General features: G+C 36.2%; 1 annotated feature.

The window, feature by feature from the left end:
• Positions 95–676: an enhancer, noted in NCBI's record as "OCT4-NANOG hESC enhancer chr2:67556875-67557456 (GRCh37/hg19 assembly coordinates)". NCBI's record gives its function as "activates a minimal SCP1, AML or CMV promoter by ChIP-STARR-seq in primed H9 embryonic stem cells {active_cell/tissue: H9 hESC(primed)}" and the evidence as "EXISTENCE:reporter gene assay evidence [ECO:0000049][PMID:30033119]".

Below are 20168 nucleotides of genomic sequence, written 5' to 3'. Positions count from 1 at the left end.
GCTACTGTAACAGACTACTATAGATTGGATGTATTAAACAACAAATAGTTATTACATTTATTTCTCACAGTTCTGGAGGCTGGAAGTTTGAGTTCAGGGTGCCAGCATGGTGATGTTCTTGGTGAGGGTCCCCTTCCTGGTTTACAGATGGCTGACTTCTCATTGTATCCTTACATGGCAGAGAAAGAAAAAATCTCTCTTGTTTCTCTTCTTATAGAGGCATTAATCCCATTCATAAGGGCTGCACCTTGTGACCTAACTACCTCCCTAGGGCCCTGCCTCTTACTAGCATTGATTTGGAGGTTAGGATTTTAACATATGAATTTGAGAGAGACCCAAACATTCAGCCCATAGCACATCCTGTTTCACATACATTAAATTTAGAAGCATTTAATTTTACTATGAGGAGTCAACCTCAAATATTATTTTACATAAAACAGTTCTGATAAATGTATGATTTAAGGTAACAATAACTTTGTGAAATTAGATAAAATGAGCAATATAACACTAATTCAGGTTCTAGTTACTGTTGTTCTTTAGCCATTATATAGCCATAACATGATCTGCAGAGCAGATTGATTTCTTCCTCATTAGGATTTTCTTGAATTGGTGCCTTGACTTAAAAGCTGACCCAAGTCACTGTGTTATTGGTCTTTTGGTTTTCCTCTGCAGGCATTGGCAGCTCCATCCCTTTGTGATTCACTTGCAGTTTTATCACTTGAAATAGTGAGTTTGAGTTAATCTTTTCTTCTTAAGTACTACCCATTTCCTTAGAATTCACATTTCAAGAACTCCCTGGATATTCCAAATACATTGCCATTTTAAGAGGTTCTCCATTTCATTTTTCAATTATCCACCAATAATCCTGCCTTTAATCCTAGCAAAGAACTTTCTCTACAAAAGACCCCTAAGCTGCCATCATTCCCCCAGAGAAAATTATTCTCCAATCTTCCCCTCAATTTCTTCTTGTAAACATTGAGCCTTTGATGCTCTTCCCAGAGAGTTGTTAGCCTTTTGTCTCTTCTTCCATATGAATGGGCTTTTGCAATCAGACTTGAGTATAATCTTGAGTTGAACTCAATGAACAAATGATTTCTGCACTGCTGTTGTATTTATAACTCTGTAGTGGAAAAAAAGGGGTTTATAATCTGTTTTCACTACTGAAAATAGGTTAAGTAAGGGTCTGCTGCTATTAATCTTACTCCAGGAGCACTACCTTATTTTTAAGATAGGTACATAAAAAATCAACTCAAGAAAACGTTTCTTGAATGAAGCGAAGTGTTTTGTAGCTCCAGCTATAGATTTAGATGCCCTAGCTCGCCCCATTTGGGAATATTCTCTTCCAGGCTATAATTTCTTCCTTCTTTTTCATAAGACTGGAGGAGGGAGAGTCAGTTACAAATTTGGTTATAACATAACTGCAAATAACCACGTTGTCAGGTAACTTCTCTTTCATGTGATAGAATACATTGGTTTGAAAACATATCAGAAAATATTTTACTGAGATCTTTCAGAAAAAAAAAAAAAGTTGTAAGACACACTTGCCCATACCTTTTTGGAACAATTTATTCCTTGCTAAAGTATCCGCTTGTTGCTATACAGATGCAGTCTGAGAGATTAAAAAATTAAAACCATCAATATGTCCTACGTAAAAGCAAATGAGCTTCTCAGGCTTTAGAGGACTTTTATATATGTGGATTTTTTGTAGGCTAATTTAAATATTAATAAAAAGATAAGAGAATTGATCCAAATGTCTTTATTCTTGTACTCATAAGCCAAATTCTGCACATTGGTTCAGAAATAATGAACCTTTAACCAATTCTAAACATCCCCATTCTAATTATTTACTTGAAGTACTTTTAAAGATTGCATCTAAGCATGCAGTGATTGAAACAAATGTTTTTGTAAGTTTTTTTCTATAATGTCCCACATTTTTACAAATGTTTAGAATATTTAGAAATATTTCAGATGTTTTGGGATGTTCTTGTTGCTATTCATTGGCAAGAGATGAGATGATTAATAACAAACTGTTGGATCACCTAGTTCTCCAGTTGGCCCTTCACATTTGTGGTACAGGTCAGGATGTCTAAGAGAATAGTGAAACATACTCACACCTATTATCCCTGCAGGAGGAAGGCTGCAAAGGCAGGACGAATCCCACTCAAGCCACCATCCATACAAATCCACTGGCTTTGGCATGATGTTTCCTCTCTTAATATGTTTTACTGAAGACTGATATTAACAGCATTCTGCCAGGAAAACACTAAAGGACTGTCAGAATAAAGAAGACTAAAGAGAAATGACAGCTGAATTCAGGGCATGACCCATGACATTTGATTTTTTTTGACCATAAAAATAGTATTGAAATCTGAATAAAGTCTATAAATTAGATAAGAGTATTATAGCAATGCTAGTTTTCTGATTTTGGTAATCTTTTGTTGTTTCATTGGGGAATTTCTTCTTTATTAGAAAGATACACAAGTATTTAAAAATAAAGGGGTTTCATGACTGTAACTTATTCTCAAAGGATTAGAAAACTCAGAATCTATTAAAAATATGTGCATATATACATACATATATACACAGAGATATACATGTGTATATAAGGCATAGACATTCTGTGTATGTCTGTGCATATACACACAAAGAGATAGATACAGCAAATGTAGTAAAATGTTAACATTTGGGGAATGAGGATGAAGGCTGTATGAGAATTCTTAGAGCTATTCTAAATACTCCTTTTTTAATAATTAGGTTGGTGAAAAATAAAAACTCTTTACTATGAGTCTGAAATTTTGGCAAGATATCTAGTTAAAAGAAAAGAAAAAAATCCCAGCTTGCATGTTTTTGAGAGGGGAACAGGTGGCTCAGAAGCAATAGGATAGCAGGAAAAATGCAACCAAATATGGGAAACTGTAGGCATTATTAAAAATTAATAAACACTATTAGTCTACATATTCTTATATGATTGTATTTCAAAACCTAAAACTAAATTTTCACTTAGGAAAATATGTTAAATGAATGAGAACAAACCCACCCAGGAAGTTGGAAGTAGTAAATTCTGTAGTGTTTTCTCTGTAGTTGTTGACAAATGCCAACCTGGCTTTAGTGTATACACAGGATGATTCCATTTATTTTTATGAGTGTTGATACTTTCCAGATGTTTGTTTTATTAACCTACCTAATTTTCTTCTTTCTAGTAATGAAAGCACTGGGTCCTGTTGATTTCAGAGCAAACAGCAAATGCATAGTGGATTCTTACAGATACGTTTCCTCATTACGTTTGCTAATTTTTATGAAACATTAAACAGATTAAATAATGGGAAATAATTCTACTACTTTATATTTTACCAAATCTTCCTGTCAAAAGAAATATTTTTCGTCTTTGTATCAGACACTGCTTACTCAGTATATATATTTCCCGCAAGACCCCTCTTCCTGACCACAGATCCATGTGCTTCAGGGCAAACAACATCATTCCTAGTTCCAGGAGGCAGAGCTTTTCTAATCCAATCACAGTGATTCTACACCCTAACAGTGACTAGTTTAGGAATTGGCATATAACTCATTTTTAGCAAAGGAAATTTGCTAATCAGGATTTAAGGGACACTTAGTAGACTCCTGAGAAAGAGACCTTTGTTCTTGTCACTATGATGCTGGATGTGACACCTGGATCTGTGCAGCCCTCATAGGACAAAGCTGATGAGGGATGGGAGAGTGGAAAGGTGGAGAGAATCTGAGTCCCCAGTGACAGTGATAAGCTGCTGAATCAACCAGCCCTGGCACCGTGATTACATTTGGACTTGCAGATATTATTATTATGCCTGGAAATTTGTGTTTTTTGAAGGTGAATACATACTGATTTTTCATTAAGTATTCTGAAAGTTTTCTACAAAAAAATTTAAATTTCATGATTATTAAAAAGCTAGTGAGATTTATCAAGCCAATTAGATGATACAGGCTTTTGTATTTTATTTAAACCAAGCATAGAAATACGTATTTCTTGAGTCATAGTCACAATCTCATTCATTTTCTGAGATGTATATTAACAGTTTAGAATGAGAAATTTATGAGAAAGAAGATAAAGGAATTCTGGCTGTAAAGTGAAAGTAATATTTACCTACTTCATAAAGTGATAGTGAGAACTGAATGAGTTATATTGAAAGCTCATAGAGCAGTGGCCGGCAGGTTGTGAGTTCAACAATTATTACTAACAATAGCAATTATAATTATTATTCTTTTTTGTGGCTTTTGTTGCTAAAATACTTGCTATCTTAATTTTAATTGTCTTTATTTTAAGTAACAGACTCTCTGAGAGGCAATGAATACCTCCAGTGAATTCAACTGGAGAATTTTGGGGAATAAATGTTATAATTTCTAATTCTTAGATGAAAAAACTGAATCATAGGATGGGACTTTCTATGCAACATCTTCAAATACAATCTTGATCATCACATGGATACCAAGTCCAATATAGCATCATTTAAAAATGTGAAGGGTACCAAGGTGTACTCCAGTGTGTATCAAACAGTGGGCCATGTTACAATGGTAGATTATGAGGCCAATTTAGTGGGGTTGCAACCATAATTTTAAAGAATTGAATTATTATGGAGTAGGACTGGTAAAATAAGAGTAAATTGCCTGTGTAAAGGTAAATATTGTTTGTGAAACCTTGTTTTGGTAATGTGTGCATGTATTGGTTTAACCTCTCACTGTGAGTTTTGATTATTGGTAGAGTGGAGAAACAGGGGCTCCATAGCCAGACAAACTTGGCTTCCAATATCATTGGCCTGTTTTACAGAAAAGAGCATGGAACTGTGCCTACAAGCTAACAGGCACTCAAAACAATGTCCCTTCTTTCCTGCCTCTGTCCACAGGCTGCCCCCACCTTCTCCAGTGTGGACTTGAAGTTTTGGAACCACAGAGTAATGCAACACTGACATTACACACAAGGTGTCCTTAAACAAACAGGTATCACTGTGTCATATTACAAATTCATCCAAGCTCGACACACCAGGAGCTCCGTGAGTGATCTGGGTTCTGAAGCAAGGAAAATCAATTGTATTTAAACAACGAAAAATAGTGTCTCCTGAGCTGCTCATAGCCAAGAAATCACTCTGGCCCCATTCTTAAAATAACAGGTATTTGGGTAGAACTATTGATTGTTTTCACTTTTGTTGCCTTAGCAGAATGACGCATCATCCATAAAAAATGTGAATGTGAGGACGGTGGGACCATCCTGGCACACTGAGCAGCAGGGACCTCCGAGCCCTCAGATGTCATCCAGCCAGGTGTGTGGGGGCCACTCGCCATGCACAGCTTCTCTCAGCAGAGGTGAGCTAAGAGGAGGGAGAGGATAAATGTGTTATCACATGCTGCCCATTGCTTATCACACAGGGAGCCCACATCTCCAAGTCCAGTGCATTTACTTGATATGACTTACCTTAGTTCCTTTTTTACCCGGGTGGAATGCTCAGGGGGAGGAACCGAGACACATTATTTGGTTTCACTGACATAATATTGAGCAGAAAAAGACGAATTCTCCTTCCCACCTCCTTTCCTTCTCTTCTTTTCTTCTTCTTCGTCTTCCTCCTCCTTCCCTTCCCCCTTCCTTTTCTTCTTTAATAAAACATCCATTTATGTACCAGAACTTAGTGAAACTGCTGAGGTAGTCAAGCCTGTAAATTGAACCGGTCCCTTTTACCTCCAGAAAATATGAACGCATCCTTCTGCCACGGGGCTGGCACACATGGCGGGATTATGCTACCGTTAACAGGAAGGCAGGAAAGTACATTATCACTTCAGGGCTGTCATTACCAGAGGGTTTCGCTGTGAACTATAGCATTCAGGGCAAGGCAGGCAGTGGAAAAGGGGGGCTGGGTGGGCAGGGAAGAAAAAAAGAAAATGTTGTTGTTGTTTTTCTTCCCTTAACAGGCTGACCAGAATGGTGGTGATATGAAGAGTTGGGGAATTCGACTTGAATACAAAACATAACACTGCTTTCACTTAAAAAGGTGATGACAACAGCTACCTCCTTCCATTATCCTGTAGGTACATATTTGGAAAAAGACAGGCTCAGCCACACCTGATGGCTTCAGCTAATCAATTCATGTTCATCTTAAATCTGTCAAGACAAGATCACCTATTTAGTGTTAAGCTTAAAGGGATATATTTTGTGCCAGTGAAATCTCAAAGAGATCAGTTCACTACACATTTTTTTTTTCTTGCTCCTCATAGAACAAACCCATTTTAAGATTATTTTTCCTCCTTGGTATAAATTTTAAAATTTATTTTAAACAAATCACTTATTTAATATCATAAATTACAGCAATAAAATGACCAAGAGATGAGAGTGCGTTTGACTTTTTAGGTTAGTTCATAAAACAGTTGCAAAGTTCTATATCTAAGTAGCGTTATTGCGATCTTATAACGGCAGAACTTGGGGATAGGCAGTGGAGTGAAGTTCAGAATCTTGGGCTTTGTTTTCTTCAGTCCTTCTACAAAGTTGCTTAGCACAGATACTGAACTCTTAGAGAAGTTACAATCATTTTTAATCCGTTTCTTCACAGTCTGTTTTTTGTCTGGATTCTGTTGTACAGCATAACAGATAAGCAGATCCCTAATGAGTTCAGAGCCAGCCAGTTAGTTCCTGGATATGTTACAGGTCCTTGTTAATCCAGTTAGGTATAGCAGGTTACTCATTTTTCCCATTTCTGCCCTTCACCTTGCCCTCCACTAAGATTTCTAATTTTATTGCAGAAAGATCTACCTTTTAGCAATGAAGAAATCATTATTATTTTTAAAAAGCAATAGTGGTGAGAGTAATTCTAGGCAAAGTATTACAGAAAAAGTAAACAGCATGAGATGGTGGTTCTACGATTCCCTACAAGACCATCTGTTTTCCCAATGAAAAATCTAGTGCTTCCTCGAGTTATGTTTTAAAAGGCTTAAGCAATCATTCAGATAATCAGACTTCATTGCTATGAAATTTCATCAAACTGTACTCAATCCTTGAACTCATATCTGGGTCCATTTTGCCAATCAGATAAAACTTCCTAGGCTTTTTCCTAGAGGCATGAGTGGTTAACTTGATCTTATTGCACTGCAAAAGATTTTGTGCTACACATCATTTTTCATAAAAGCTATTTGTTGTGTTAGGAGAACTCCAGAGAGACTGCTTGTTAGAATAGATTTTGGGGGTGGGGGTGGGCCAGCGCTGGTTCTGCTATGTCACTTTGGACCAAATGAAAATTCTTAGAAATTCTTACAAATTAACCTCAGAGGACATGAGGAGGCAAAAAGGTGATACAGAGGAAATTAGTGTCTTGGTAAGTAAAGATGTTATTTCTCATGAACAGACCAATAATTATAAAAAAAAAAAAACCAAAGAAATCTATAATTTGGAAGCACTGAATTCCTTTGTCTTAAGATTGTCACTTGCTTCTTCTTTCAGTTGGCATAGGGGTTAAAGCCACCTGACTCCTTTTTTTTTTTTCCTTTGTAAAGGTCAGCCAACGCATGCCCACTCTTGTCCACATGAGCACAAACAGCCTTTGCGTTGAAAAAGCACTAGGTGGTGCCCATTTTCTTTGCTGGTGAAAGGGCTGGATTCCCCAAGGGAGTCACTCTGGGCAAGTTCACCAGGCCCTGGCCCACATAGCACAGTGCACTTCTCTCACAGATGACCAGGAGCATGGTGTCACAGTCTGTCCCTTCCCTGATGCATCCTGGGGCTTGCCTGTTTTAGGAAAGAGCTTTGATTTGGGGATACAGTGTTTTTACATGTGAGGATAGGAGTAGAGGAGGGTGGTGGCAAAAAGCTTCGAGTGTTCCCTTTGAAAATGAAAGATAAGAGGAATAAAGGCTGCAACACTGCCATCTGCATTTGTAAAAAGTCATAGTATATCTCTGCCAAGGCTCTCCTCCTGCCAGATCATCTGGACAATGCAGTGCACATGCTAATTTTATTTTTTCCCACTTTTGCCTGTAATCAAACTGTGGAAATAAGGCAAATGAAGGTTAATCTTAAATTTCAATTTGTCTCTTCACAAAAATAATTATTTGTTGAATAAAGCATGGCTAAATTGAAGATTTTGCATGCCCATGTCTCCCCCCCAATACCTACCATTTGAAGAGGTGGCTTTATACTACTGAGTTCTTTCCTTTAAAAAAAATCTTATTAGGCACGCTTAACAGATTGTTGCTTTGTGTTCAAGGAGAGCAGATAACTGGCTAAGAAGATTTTTTTTTCCAGAATAATTTTATCCAGGCGATATGCCCATCGGATCTGTTTTAGAATGTAGAACTATTTAGAAAGTTTTTGTTCTTGTAAAGATCTGGTAGCAGCAATTGAGCATAATCATGTTATTGTCATAAAAAGAAAAGAAAAGAATATAACAATTTTTTTCTAGTAGACATATGTCTTGTCTGTCTATAACCTATTCCCTGAAATTTGGCCTAGTAGAGTTAGTTTGTTCAAATATATTTATTTTGTTTTAGAGAAAGCAAGAAAATTGTTTTTTTGAATGCCAAAGAAATAGATTCTTGTAGTAAAATCTTAATCTTGTTTCACAGGTTGGTGAACCATACTCCAACAGAAAGGGGACATAAGACTGTAAGTAGTTTTAAAAAGTTGAACTAAGAGAAAAGCTTTATTATGAAACTATGAGGATTATTTCTGTGCACTGGCTGCCCCGTCATATGTCGTGGCATGTGGCGGGTTGACTGCTCATTAATTCTATTTATATCAGTATGATAATCCACCCCACTGAGTATGCATGTGTTAAAATATTCATAAATTATGTTTATTGTGACCAAATATACATTAAATGCCAAAAGAAGACCATTATTTAAAGACAAAACCAGTCAACAATCAAACAAGCAAAGCCTTTTTACTGTCAGTCCAGTACATTATGTTTTATCAAATTCACATGAATTGCTTCTCCTTCCAGTGCCCCATAAGGAATGTTTATCCTTTGTTTTTAAACTATGCAAAGAAATAGACTTCACTGAAAGGAACAGATTTGGAAAACAAAAGCTGTTACATGATCTCAGACTAATAATAACATCGGCTGGAAGAAACCATCTAGGGAAATGCACTTTTGGCTTCCAAAATTATTTGATCCCTAATATACCCTTGACTTGAATTTGATGGCATTTCATAAAATCATAGACTAAGTTAAATAAAGCAGCTAACTTTTTTTGATAAACTAGGCTGCCAATAGAATTTTAAGTTTGTACATTTTTTGTTTGAAAACAAAAAAAGGATAGTTAAGAAAATCTAGAAGGTTGAGAATTGAGACCAGTAATTAAACTATACTGCGGCAGACCGTTTTGGAACTTATTACTTCCAAATGAAGCAATCCTTAACTACTCTGTTTTGAATGATTCCAGGAAGTTGAAAAAATTGAGGTGATTATTCTTTTTACAGGCTGCTTATGCAGCAACACAGCACAGTTGAAAAGTTTGAATTCCTTGTCAAAATCCAAAGTGGTTTTAGTTAAAATATATTGCCTAACTTACCCAATTCATCATATTCTGAATTGAAGCCATGAAAACATCTAGGATTATTAATTATGAGGACCATACTTCAGATTTAACCAAAATAATGATCATTTTAAAAAGTGACCTGTATGCTGGCTTAATAGTCACTTGTAATATCCTCCAGGAAACTGTTAAAAATTTCAAAACTTAAATTATACTTGAAAGGACTTTTTTTCTAAATCAAAACAATAAGTGAGGAGTAAAACAAAATAGAAAATTCTGAATTTATTTCATTGTCACCATATGCTTATTTTAAAGAAGAACACAACATTTAGAGAACAAATTAAATTTAGAGAACAACATTTAGAGAACAAATTAATTTAGAGTAAAAATTAAATGTTTTTCTCATGTCGCCAATACTTACTATAGGAGTGAAGTCATCACTTAAATTGCATGTTAATTTCAAGTAAGATTTTTTTTTTTTCCTGTATAATGACACCATTATAGAATGTTTTACTTTCTACTTTTCCTTGGAAGAAAAATGTCTTTACTTCTATACAATCTTTTAAGAAACCTAAACAGTATGGCAACCTGAACAGGTATAGGAAATCTCTCCAGGGAAATAATTCAAAATGTGGAAAAAGCCATGTATATAAAAATTTTCTTTATAACATTGTTTATAATAGCAAACATTGGAAGGCATTTTAATATCTAGCAGTGGAAGCTTGGTTAGGAAAAGATGACAACATTCATTTGATGAAATATTATGCAGTCAATAAAATTGGTATAAAGCAGTATGAGAAATATGGGATAAAATACTAAGTTAAAAAAGGATACAAGATGAAGGTGTAGCATGATTATAATAATTTTAACACATGCAAACAAAACACTAAAAGAGGATGCACAAAAGTGTTAATCATCAAATTGAAGATTGAAATGGATTTTTTACCCTCTTTTCATACTTTTATTATGTTGTCATGCAATTTAAAATGCATTTTAAAATTTCAAAATTATTATCAGTAATCAATTTATACTTTTTCTTTAGATGTCATAAATAATCACCATAGATTTTTGAGGGGAAAAATTAGACAACTCCAATTTCCAAAGATGTTAATTTTAAAACCAGTATCCCAACGTGTGGTTTTAGTATTCAAACCTAATTTGATTTCTATGGAATCATAGTGCACTTATATTTTATTAAATAATAATTCCCTCTTTTATTAAAAAAATCCTGCTTATTATATTTAACTCTAAACGACAGCTTTTTCGCCTCTCAGTTCTCAAAAACCCTGAGCAGCCATTTCAGAAAACAAAACAAAAGAAAACCCCACATATCAAAACACCACAAAACCCTCTCATTAAGCTCTCTGCAAAGTTTGAGATGTACTTTCATGTGAATCTTGGCCTCTGTACAGCACTGCTGCACAATCATTTTCATCTGAGATTTGAACATATTGGAAGAACTAGAGCCTTCCTTTCTTTTATCCTGTCATTTCCCCCGCTGGAAGTGATGGGCATATGGCAGGCACCCTCCCTAGATTCTCAAACAACAGGAGGGACCTGATTTCAATTCCTACATCCTGTCATCAGTGACTCTCGGGATATTTTGTTCTTGCAAGGCTAAGGATGTGATTCGAATTTGCCATACGGACAGAGCTTAATGCGATGCCATTTTTACCACTGGCGCCCTCAATCAGTTAATTAAACATGATATAAATCACCACATGTATTTGTTAAGTAAGATTAATATGGCAAAGTCAAAGTAAAAAATGAGGAATCCTCCCCATCCTAGGAGTGTGAATCACTGATAGGAAGATTACACTTTTGGAAACTCAATACTTTTGAGCAGGCTTTGTTGGTTTAATCCCTCAGACTGCTTTGTGCAACTTGAAACCTAGAGCTGTCATCTTTAGCCAAAATTTCAGCCATAACTTCCTCAGCTTTCACCCCATTATTGAAATCAGCATTCACAATACTTAACAAAGATCAAACCTTTCAGCGGACCACGGGGCAGCCTCTTACCACCTGGGACACCAGAAACATGTTTAATAAATATTTCATTTTGTTTTAACATGAAGACTCCCTGGTTTCAATTTTTTTTTTCTTTCCTGGGGAGCTAAGGGCTACCACCAAGCTGCACATTCCGTCACTATGGTCAGTTAGGTTTATAGCCTTAATAAAAGGATTTGCCCCCCTTCACATGCTAGGGAGCCTTGTTAAACCACAGCAATTATAGAAACACAAGATAGGTGCTCTGCAAAGATCAAAGCTCACTTAAAGACAGCTCTGTAGGAATTTGGAGCTCTCTTTGAAAAGTGCTCAGTTTACAAAGTATAGAGGTATTAAACCCTAGGAATTAAAAACTTATTTTAGAATAATGTTTAAAGTCTGACAGTAGTTAATATGGGATCTCCTTCAGTCACTCTTTGTGTATTATTTCTAATATCTATTCACGGCATACCTATAATAGCTCCAAAGGAACCATTACGCTCAGAAGACATACGCATATGATGGATCCTTAATACCAAATGCATTACCTACTCAGTAGGTACATTTTAACCTCAATATCCCAGCTCAGGGACAGGGTAGAAAAATAGCATGTAAATTTCTTTAGGAGGAAAAAAATGCAGCATGCCTGGGTCTTCAGCTTTGTGGCTCAGTGGAATCCCTAGAGGCTGCTTTCCATGCAGGAGGGATAGGTGATGGCCTGTGCTGGGCTGCACCAGGTCACTTTAGCATCTGGCCTTTGGGGCTGCCGCACAACTCACCCAACTCTAATTGGATGTTGAAGTACCCAGTCTTAAGCATTGTAATGTTTCCTCTACCTCTGTAGATTGTATCATTCATCCAGAAACACATACACACACACACACACACACACACACACACACACAGAGTAATGCATGTGGACTCCATTTCAGAAAAAGAATGCTAAACCCCGAGTGGCCTAAACTTAATTGTGTGGCTATGGGAGCTTTCGGGTGACAAAGGGTCTGCAAGCCAAATAATTACTTTTGTGTGCAGCATCTTACAACAGGGCAGTATAAATGGGCTTAGCCTGGGATTTTGAACTCTGTGCTTCAGCCTCGGAAAATGAGTTATTTAAAAGCAGCTATTGCCAGGAACATTTTAATATCTATTTAGAGAAAACTATTTGGGGTTTTTGGTGTCCAGGAGTCTTTAGCTTTGAAACATGTAGGTATAAATGCAAACCCCTCATTTCACGTCAGCATATCCATTTTAAATAAAAGGTTGTAATGATGATAAAAATAAGAGCTAATATTTGTTGACTGCTTGCTATTTGCCAGGCTGTATGCCCAGTACGTTACATGGAGTATTACATTTAATCTTCATGACAACCCTATGAGATAGGTTCTATTATCGTATTTATTTTCTAGACGAGGAGACTGTGGCTCAGAGGGGCAAAGATCACATCACTAGTAAGAGGTGGGGTTGTGATTTTAATCTGGGTTATATGACCCTAGAAGCCACGCTTTTACAGCCTGTTACTATCTGATTTGAAGTTTATTTTGTGCTGTGATCTAAAGTTTCTATTTTATGGTTTCTTTTTATTTAGCTGTAACTTTTAAGAGAATTCTAATCCTTGAAAATAAAGGTAACAGAGTCTATTTTTCCTAATTAGCTTTCTGCTTTTAATTTTAGTGTTAAATGGGTAATGTAACTTCAGGTTTTGTGTTTCTAATAATTTATTTTGGAAAATGCCATACCCCAAGAGTTACCTGAAAGAGTTTCATGATAGAAACTCTTTTTATTTGCCTTGGAATCACCATTTTATAATTAATCTAAGAAAATGCCCTCATTGAAAATAGAAGCAATCAATTATCTTGTTTGCCTTCCCTTTGAATAAAGCTTTTCCTTTGACTAGTTCAAGATTCTGATACGTTGTTTAATGTGAAAGAGATGTTCCAGATTTAGAAGTATTATAGTGCAGCATGAGTCAGATAGGCCTGAATTAGAATCTTGGATTCACCAAGTTTTGGTTCTGTCATCTTGGGCAACTATTTCAATTCTCTTAATCCTATCAGTTTATTATTGGTAATACAAAAAAATAATGCCGATCATACAGTGTTATTACGAAAACTTTATGAAATATATATGTGTAAATATATATATATATATATATATATATATATATGTCTGTTTTCTGAGCATAATAGTTCTATTTCAAGGGCCCCCTTGATGTCCAACTATCAAGCAAAGCCCCACCAAGATGAGTGAGTTCCCCTGTGTTCACAGTTTCAGGCCTTAGCAGACATGGTTAAAGTGCTTCCTGACAATACCAACACTAGAGCTTGATCCAGGCCTCAAAATAAGGCCCTTTTTTCCCAGTAGAGTTCCAAACTGTGAAAACAGTATTTCTGCAGCCTTTCAGAGACGGAGTCTTGCTCTGTCGCCCAGGCTGGAGTGCAGTGGCGCAATCTCGCCTCACTGCAAGCTCCGCCTCCTGGGTTCACGCCATTCTCCTGCCTCAGCCTCCCGACTAGCTGAGACTACAGGCGCCCGCCACTACGCCCGGCTAATTTTTTTGTATTTTTAGTAGAGATGGGGTTTCACCGTGTTAGCCAGGATGATCTCCATCTCCGGACCTCATGATCTGCCCACCTCGGCCTCCCAGAGTGCTGGGATTACAGGCGTGAGCCACCGCGCCCAGCCAAATCTAGATTATTAACACAGTCAAAGGGAAGGGAGAAGAATATATATACATATATATGTACGTAGATGCGTGTGTATATATACACATATATAGAATATTTGTGAGCTATACATATATATGTGTGTGTATGTGTATATATATGAATATATACATAATGCCTCCCTTTGTTGAAATAGCAGGAAAAGTTCCAATTTTAGTTTTTAGATGATAAACTTAGTTTTAAGGATTTTCTATCGAGCTATCTTTTGTGGATTGTCAGATCTCATTTGAACAAATATCTCAACTCACTGCTCGGCAACAACATATGTCATCCTGACCTTTTAAGACCTTGTAACCCACCACTCCAAGATAGGCTGCTTCCTTCCTAGGCCATGGAGACCTGGCCTGCATGTTTGAATAGCCTCTAGCTTCTTACTGGTACGTAATACATATTAATAATCAATCAATCAATCTGCCACCTTTCATAAACACTAAATTTCTTTCACAGTATAATAACACAGTTGACATTATATCAAAATTCAAGACTTTTTGAGAGGTCATTTTTATCTTTGATCTATCTGAATATAAGTTTATAGAAACATATAAGCTACCAATATCCTCTTAAAAGGGACTGTTAATGTAAAAAATGTTTATTCTGCCTTTTGACATATTTTCTGTCTTTGCTTTCTTCACTTTTCATAATCTTTCACTGTCTACATGTAATGCTATCAGTGTCTTTAGAAGCGTTATTCAACTTGTAGCATGGCTGCAAGATAAAGGTCTTTAAAAATATCATTTTAGTGAAGTACGAAAAGTTGGCCATCACTGAATAATGGATCAGGATAATTGTGCCATTGCTTCTTACTCAAAGGTTCACCTATCCTACCAGAGTCTGGATGTATGGAAACAACTGGTGTTTAGTCAGAACATTTGCTTTCCTTCTGGGGTTGCCAGATTTCACAAATAAAAATACATAGTACCAAATTAACATAGACTTTCAGATAAACCATAAGTAATTTTTAGTATAAATATGTCTCATACAATATTTAGGACAGACTTATACTAAAATATTATTCATGGTTTATCTGTCGTTCAGTCTAATTGGGCTTCCTGCATTTTATCTGGCAACTGTATTTCTTTTACCTCTTAAGTTAATAAAATAACAAACTCAGTCTTATTTCCATTAGCTCTTGTGGGATTCAGTACCATGCCATTTGATGGTGGTGGGAGGAGAGACCTGCCTTTGCATAAACACCTGGAAGACTTGGAACCAGTGGTTGAGAACCAAGTCAGAAGAGATAGTTTTGTAGTCTGTATATCAAACAGCTATAAAGCCACAGTTTGTAATTCAATTTTCTAATTTGCTTTACTCATTTCTCTTAAAGACAAAAGTGAAAATAACTCTTTTAAAATTGTATAGAAAAGCAGACTGCCTATGATATTGTTCATTATTTATTCCTTCATTCATTCATTCAAAAAATATTTATTGAGGGCCTACTATGTGTCAGGTACTGCATGACAGTTATAATAATATTTTTAGATTTATGTTATACTTATGTTCAGGTTCAAGGGTATTGTGTGTACCTGGATATTAATGGTGCCTGTTTTGAATAGCAGTGGTTGTAGATGTCTAAGTCATGCTTCCTGCCTTCTAATCAAACAGCAACAGTAGACATCATCTGTACTCCTGACAACTAATAACATATATTTTGTTAGAAGTCTTTTGGTTTTGCCTCGAAAAATAGCTGTATACTTAGGCGACGATGTTGTCAATACCTATAGTTTTATAGCTAGAGCTATATCTTTGAAAGGTCCCTGCTTTCCTATAGCACTAAGTTAAATTATGATTCATTCCATATTTTTAGAAACCAGAAGGTCAAAATATTGTTTAGGTATATTGCTTCATCTGCCATATATAAAAAAGACTCCTATCAATTGCCCTTCTTAATTTTTAAGTCATTTTTACCCATTTTGAGGTTATGGAGTATCTTACATGTGTTTGATTGGATTCAGTCAAATAGGCTGTACAGCTTTTACTATGCCTTGTAATTTTTTTCACTACAATAAAAAGCCTTTTAAATCACCGCTACTTAGAATTATATTGAAAATACTTGTGATACTTTTATATACAGTGAGTTTAATGCCAGGATGTGAAAGCAAATTGATTGTCAGCAATTCTGTGCTTGAGCACCCCGGAGTAAAAAGAATTACACTAGTAACCCTGGGGACCTCCTGCTCTCAGAAAGACTGTCTGCACTCAGACATCCACTGGCAGGTGAAAAAGAAGGGATTGCCTAATTCTTGTCTGAAATTCTATAAACACATTTTAATTCAGAGAAATAATTTTTGAAGGGAGAAAAAGCACCTCAAGAGACACTTATGTTTAACGTTTTTAATGTAGTAAAATGAGCTGCAAGGAAAGTATGTCATCTTTGCAATAAGCATTTGAAGATCTTCTAAGAGTGACTTAAAGGTAGACAACTTGCCATCTGGAGGTTGTGTGGCTGTGGAAGGCTTGGCTAGATCAGCAGATAAAACCCTCATGGACTTTTTACCTCTGACACCCTGGTCAGAGTGAGAAGTACTTGGGGCTTTTAACAAGAGTCTCTAATGACACATACCTCCATCAGCTTGAAGAGCAGCTGACATGTTTTAGGAGTGACCTTAGACTGTCATGCAAGCATTAGAGAGAATGAATTAATATTTTGGGGAGGGGCCTTTGGTCAGGATTATGATCCCTGAAGAGTCACTCTTGATTCTTCTTTCCCAGATCTTCAAGGTGAAATGTTCAGGAAACCAAAGGGTTATTGGCTTTTCAAGTATGCAGAAAGCAGATGTGTCAGGTTTGATTTCAGAAGGCAGACTAGCTGCATACACTTTTTCACTCTCTCCCACCCCAAGCTAAATTTGACTGGGACAAATATTGAGGAAGGGGACAGAGTGGGAAATAAAAGGCTAAAGTGTTTCTGCTGACATGGGCCGTTAATATCTGAAGAGGTCCAAAGGGAAAATCTCTACAGGCTAGTGGGACTGGAGACAATATGGTTCTAAATGGAAGTCAGACCTCACATATGCAAGCAAATTGCTATCAAGGATATGGCCTTGAACAACTTTTTGGGGGAAACTTGTAACACATTGGCCACAAGCACTCATTGGAAATGAGGCCTCTTACCACCAGTTCCCTTAAAAAGGATGTTTTATCCAAGACATTATCTTGAGTTCTCACACCAGCCCTGGCACAGCTCCACAATGTTTAGAGAGGCAAGACTTGCAGAGAGGGTAAGACTGCATACCGTAAGCCCCACAGCTTATCTTCTAATCCCAGCTCAGTCACTTATTAGCTGTGCAACTTCAGGCAAATTATATAATCTCTCTATGCCTCAGTTTCTTTATCTGTACCATGGGAAGGATTGAGTTAATACATATATAGTCCTTAGTTACCATCATCATATGCATCTTCCCTTGCTGGATATGAGACTGGAACACTCAGACTGGGGGTTATTTTTGCAGTCATATATGTGCTTAGAAAATAAAAGTGTATAAACATAGATAGACAATGAGAGCATTTTTCAAGGGCATTTGTCAGAATGATGGCTCCTGACTGCAGTGAGGTTCTGACCATCAGCATAGGCATGTTTTAAAGTGTCATGTGTAAGTGTTGTACAAAGATGAGTCCTCAGGAATCATCTGGCCCAACATCTTTCTTTTATGGATAACTGCAGTCCACGGAAATCGGTCCTGAGCCAGGTGTTGGCAGTGCCAGGACTAATTTCCATGTCCCCTGTCATCCAGTGCAGAACCCATTCCATGACACTGTACTAACTTTGAGTCTTTGTTGCAAAGCAGATTGTCTAGTCGTTATAAAGAAGCCCATCTTACCATTTTTTCTACCTGAAAAATATTCCCTCTTGTAAGTTTCCTGATCCATTCTCCAGATTATCTATTTGTGTACTCTGAAAACTGTCTGCCAGAACAATGAGGTTCTTTGCCAATATCTAGCCTCCTCCAAATAATAATGCCAATCATCCTATCATTGTTTAGTTACAACAGGCCTTGCCAGCCTTTCTAAAGGAGGATTGCTAAATTGTTTTACTTATGGGCTAAACTTGACATTTTTGTCTTTTACCATTCTCAACATCAATTTTATTCTTTCACTTAGCAGAGGTGGTCAATTTGCCTCAAATACACCTTATGAATTCTCACTGTGATAGCTTTGTTTATGCTGTATCTCTTATCCAGAATGGCTTTTATGCTCCTACCAATCTTACAAGATCCCACTCTGTTACCTTTCCCATGGAGACATCATTAAATATTCCAGCTGTTAGCTGAATCAGATAAGGGTTAATGCCACACTTCGTTTTGATAAACTGGAGCCAGTAAATATCCATGAAACTTCACTATCCTTTTATGAATATTGCTCAACCTAGACCTCTGCTCTTATAGGCCAGAGCTGAGTATGCTTCTACATGCAGTCTTACCATCTGCATCTGTGGACTAATGCAACTTCTTGTTGTCTGGTCTTCCTGAGAATGCATTATATAGATTGCAGTTCATTTAGAATGCAGCTGCCAGGGTCGTGACTCACACAGAGATTAATCATTATGCCTGGGTTAGCTTCATTACTTTGACTACCCATTACATCTTGCCAAGATTATAAAATGTTGCTTTTAACTTACAAGGCCTACACTAGCACCCACTTAGCTCCAAGACACATATTTATGCTGTTTTCTTTTGTATTATCAGGTCACTGGAAATTGCTGCTATTTCCCATAAGCTTTGACTTCAAAAATTAAGTCATGCTGAAGCTTTCTGATATCAGATTGAGTAACATATCTAGAAAAGAAAGTATATCACATATTTTATTATAAATTATATAAAAATTTATAGGGCATATATAAAGTGCTGCTGTGAAAATCTTAAAGAACCAAGTATTTGTTTGACTTTTCTTTAAAATAATAATGTCATCACAAAAAAATTAAAGATTGTCCAGCAATTGTAGAGTTACTAGTTAAACTATTGCCACACTGGTGCAAGCCATCTGTATCATCTGTGGTATTATTTAGTTCCTTTCATCATTTGATTCAACCCAAACCTAAAAAAAGAAAAGGATTCTGAAAAGAAATGTTGCCACTTCTCCCAGAACACAGTTAGCATAAGTGGAAAAATAAAGGAAAAGACATTTTCCAATAAAAATTGCTGCATACATTTAGTTAACAGAAATTAATAAGAACTACCAATAGGGGTGAACTGTATTAATTTCCCCAGATCTATATTCATGTGAAGTCTTCACAGGAACAAAAAGAAAGAAGGTTAATGTAATAAAATTTTTGAAGGACAATTGTAGAAGTGTGATTGGTATACTTCTCCAATTGTATTTCTTGATGATTATATTTTAAGGGAGTTAGAATTAAATCTTAAAATATATGTGACATATATTCAGACTTGAAGGGAAAGTAGAAAATTGAAGATGTGGTAAATGGTTATGTTTAAGAGCAAAAGGTCTGTATTAGAGTTTCATCCTTATATGAAATTTTGCAGATCTTGTTTTTGTAGTGGGAACTTAAATCTATCTGTGGTACTTGGTGCAGGTAATGAGGCTGAACTTGTTATTGATTGATCTCAAAATTTTTGTGAAGTCTTTATACAATATGACTGCCACGTACTTTAGAAATATATAATTACTAATGACAACAAAAATATAGAAAGGATTTGTTCTGTGCCAAGTTTTATTTCAAATACTTTAGATATAGTAATTTGCTTAATCCTCACCACAGTTCTATGAAGTTGGTATTATTGTTATCTTTATTTTATAGATGAAGAAAGGAAGGCCCACAGAGGTTAGGAAACTTGCCCAGTTACATAGTTTATAAGCGATGGCACAGGATTCAAACTCAGCTGATCTGGTGCCTGAATTCATGTTGAGAACCACTGCAATATACTATTTTTTGGAGTCAATGTAGGGAAACATGGATGATCACACCAAAAATTATCATTTTTGATAATTTTTGAAAAAGGTGATTATTATCAAAAC

Source organism: Homo sapiens, chromosome 2, assembly GCF_000001405.40.
Source record: "Homo sapiens chromosome 2, GRCh38.p14 Primary Assembly".
NCBI lineage: Eukaryota > Metazoa > Chordata > Mammalia > Primates > Hominidae > Homo > Homo sapiens.
Note: the sequence above shows the minus strand (reverse complement) of the source record. Positions and strands in the feature narration are given on the sequence as shown.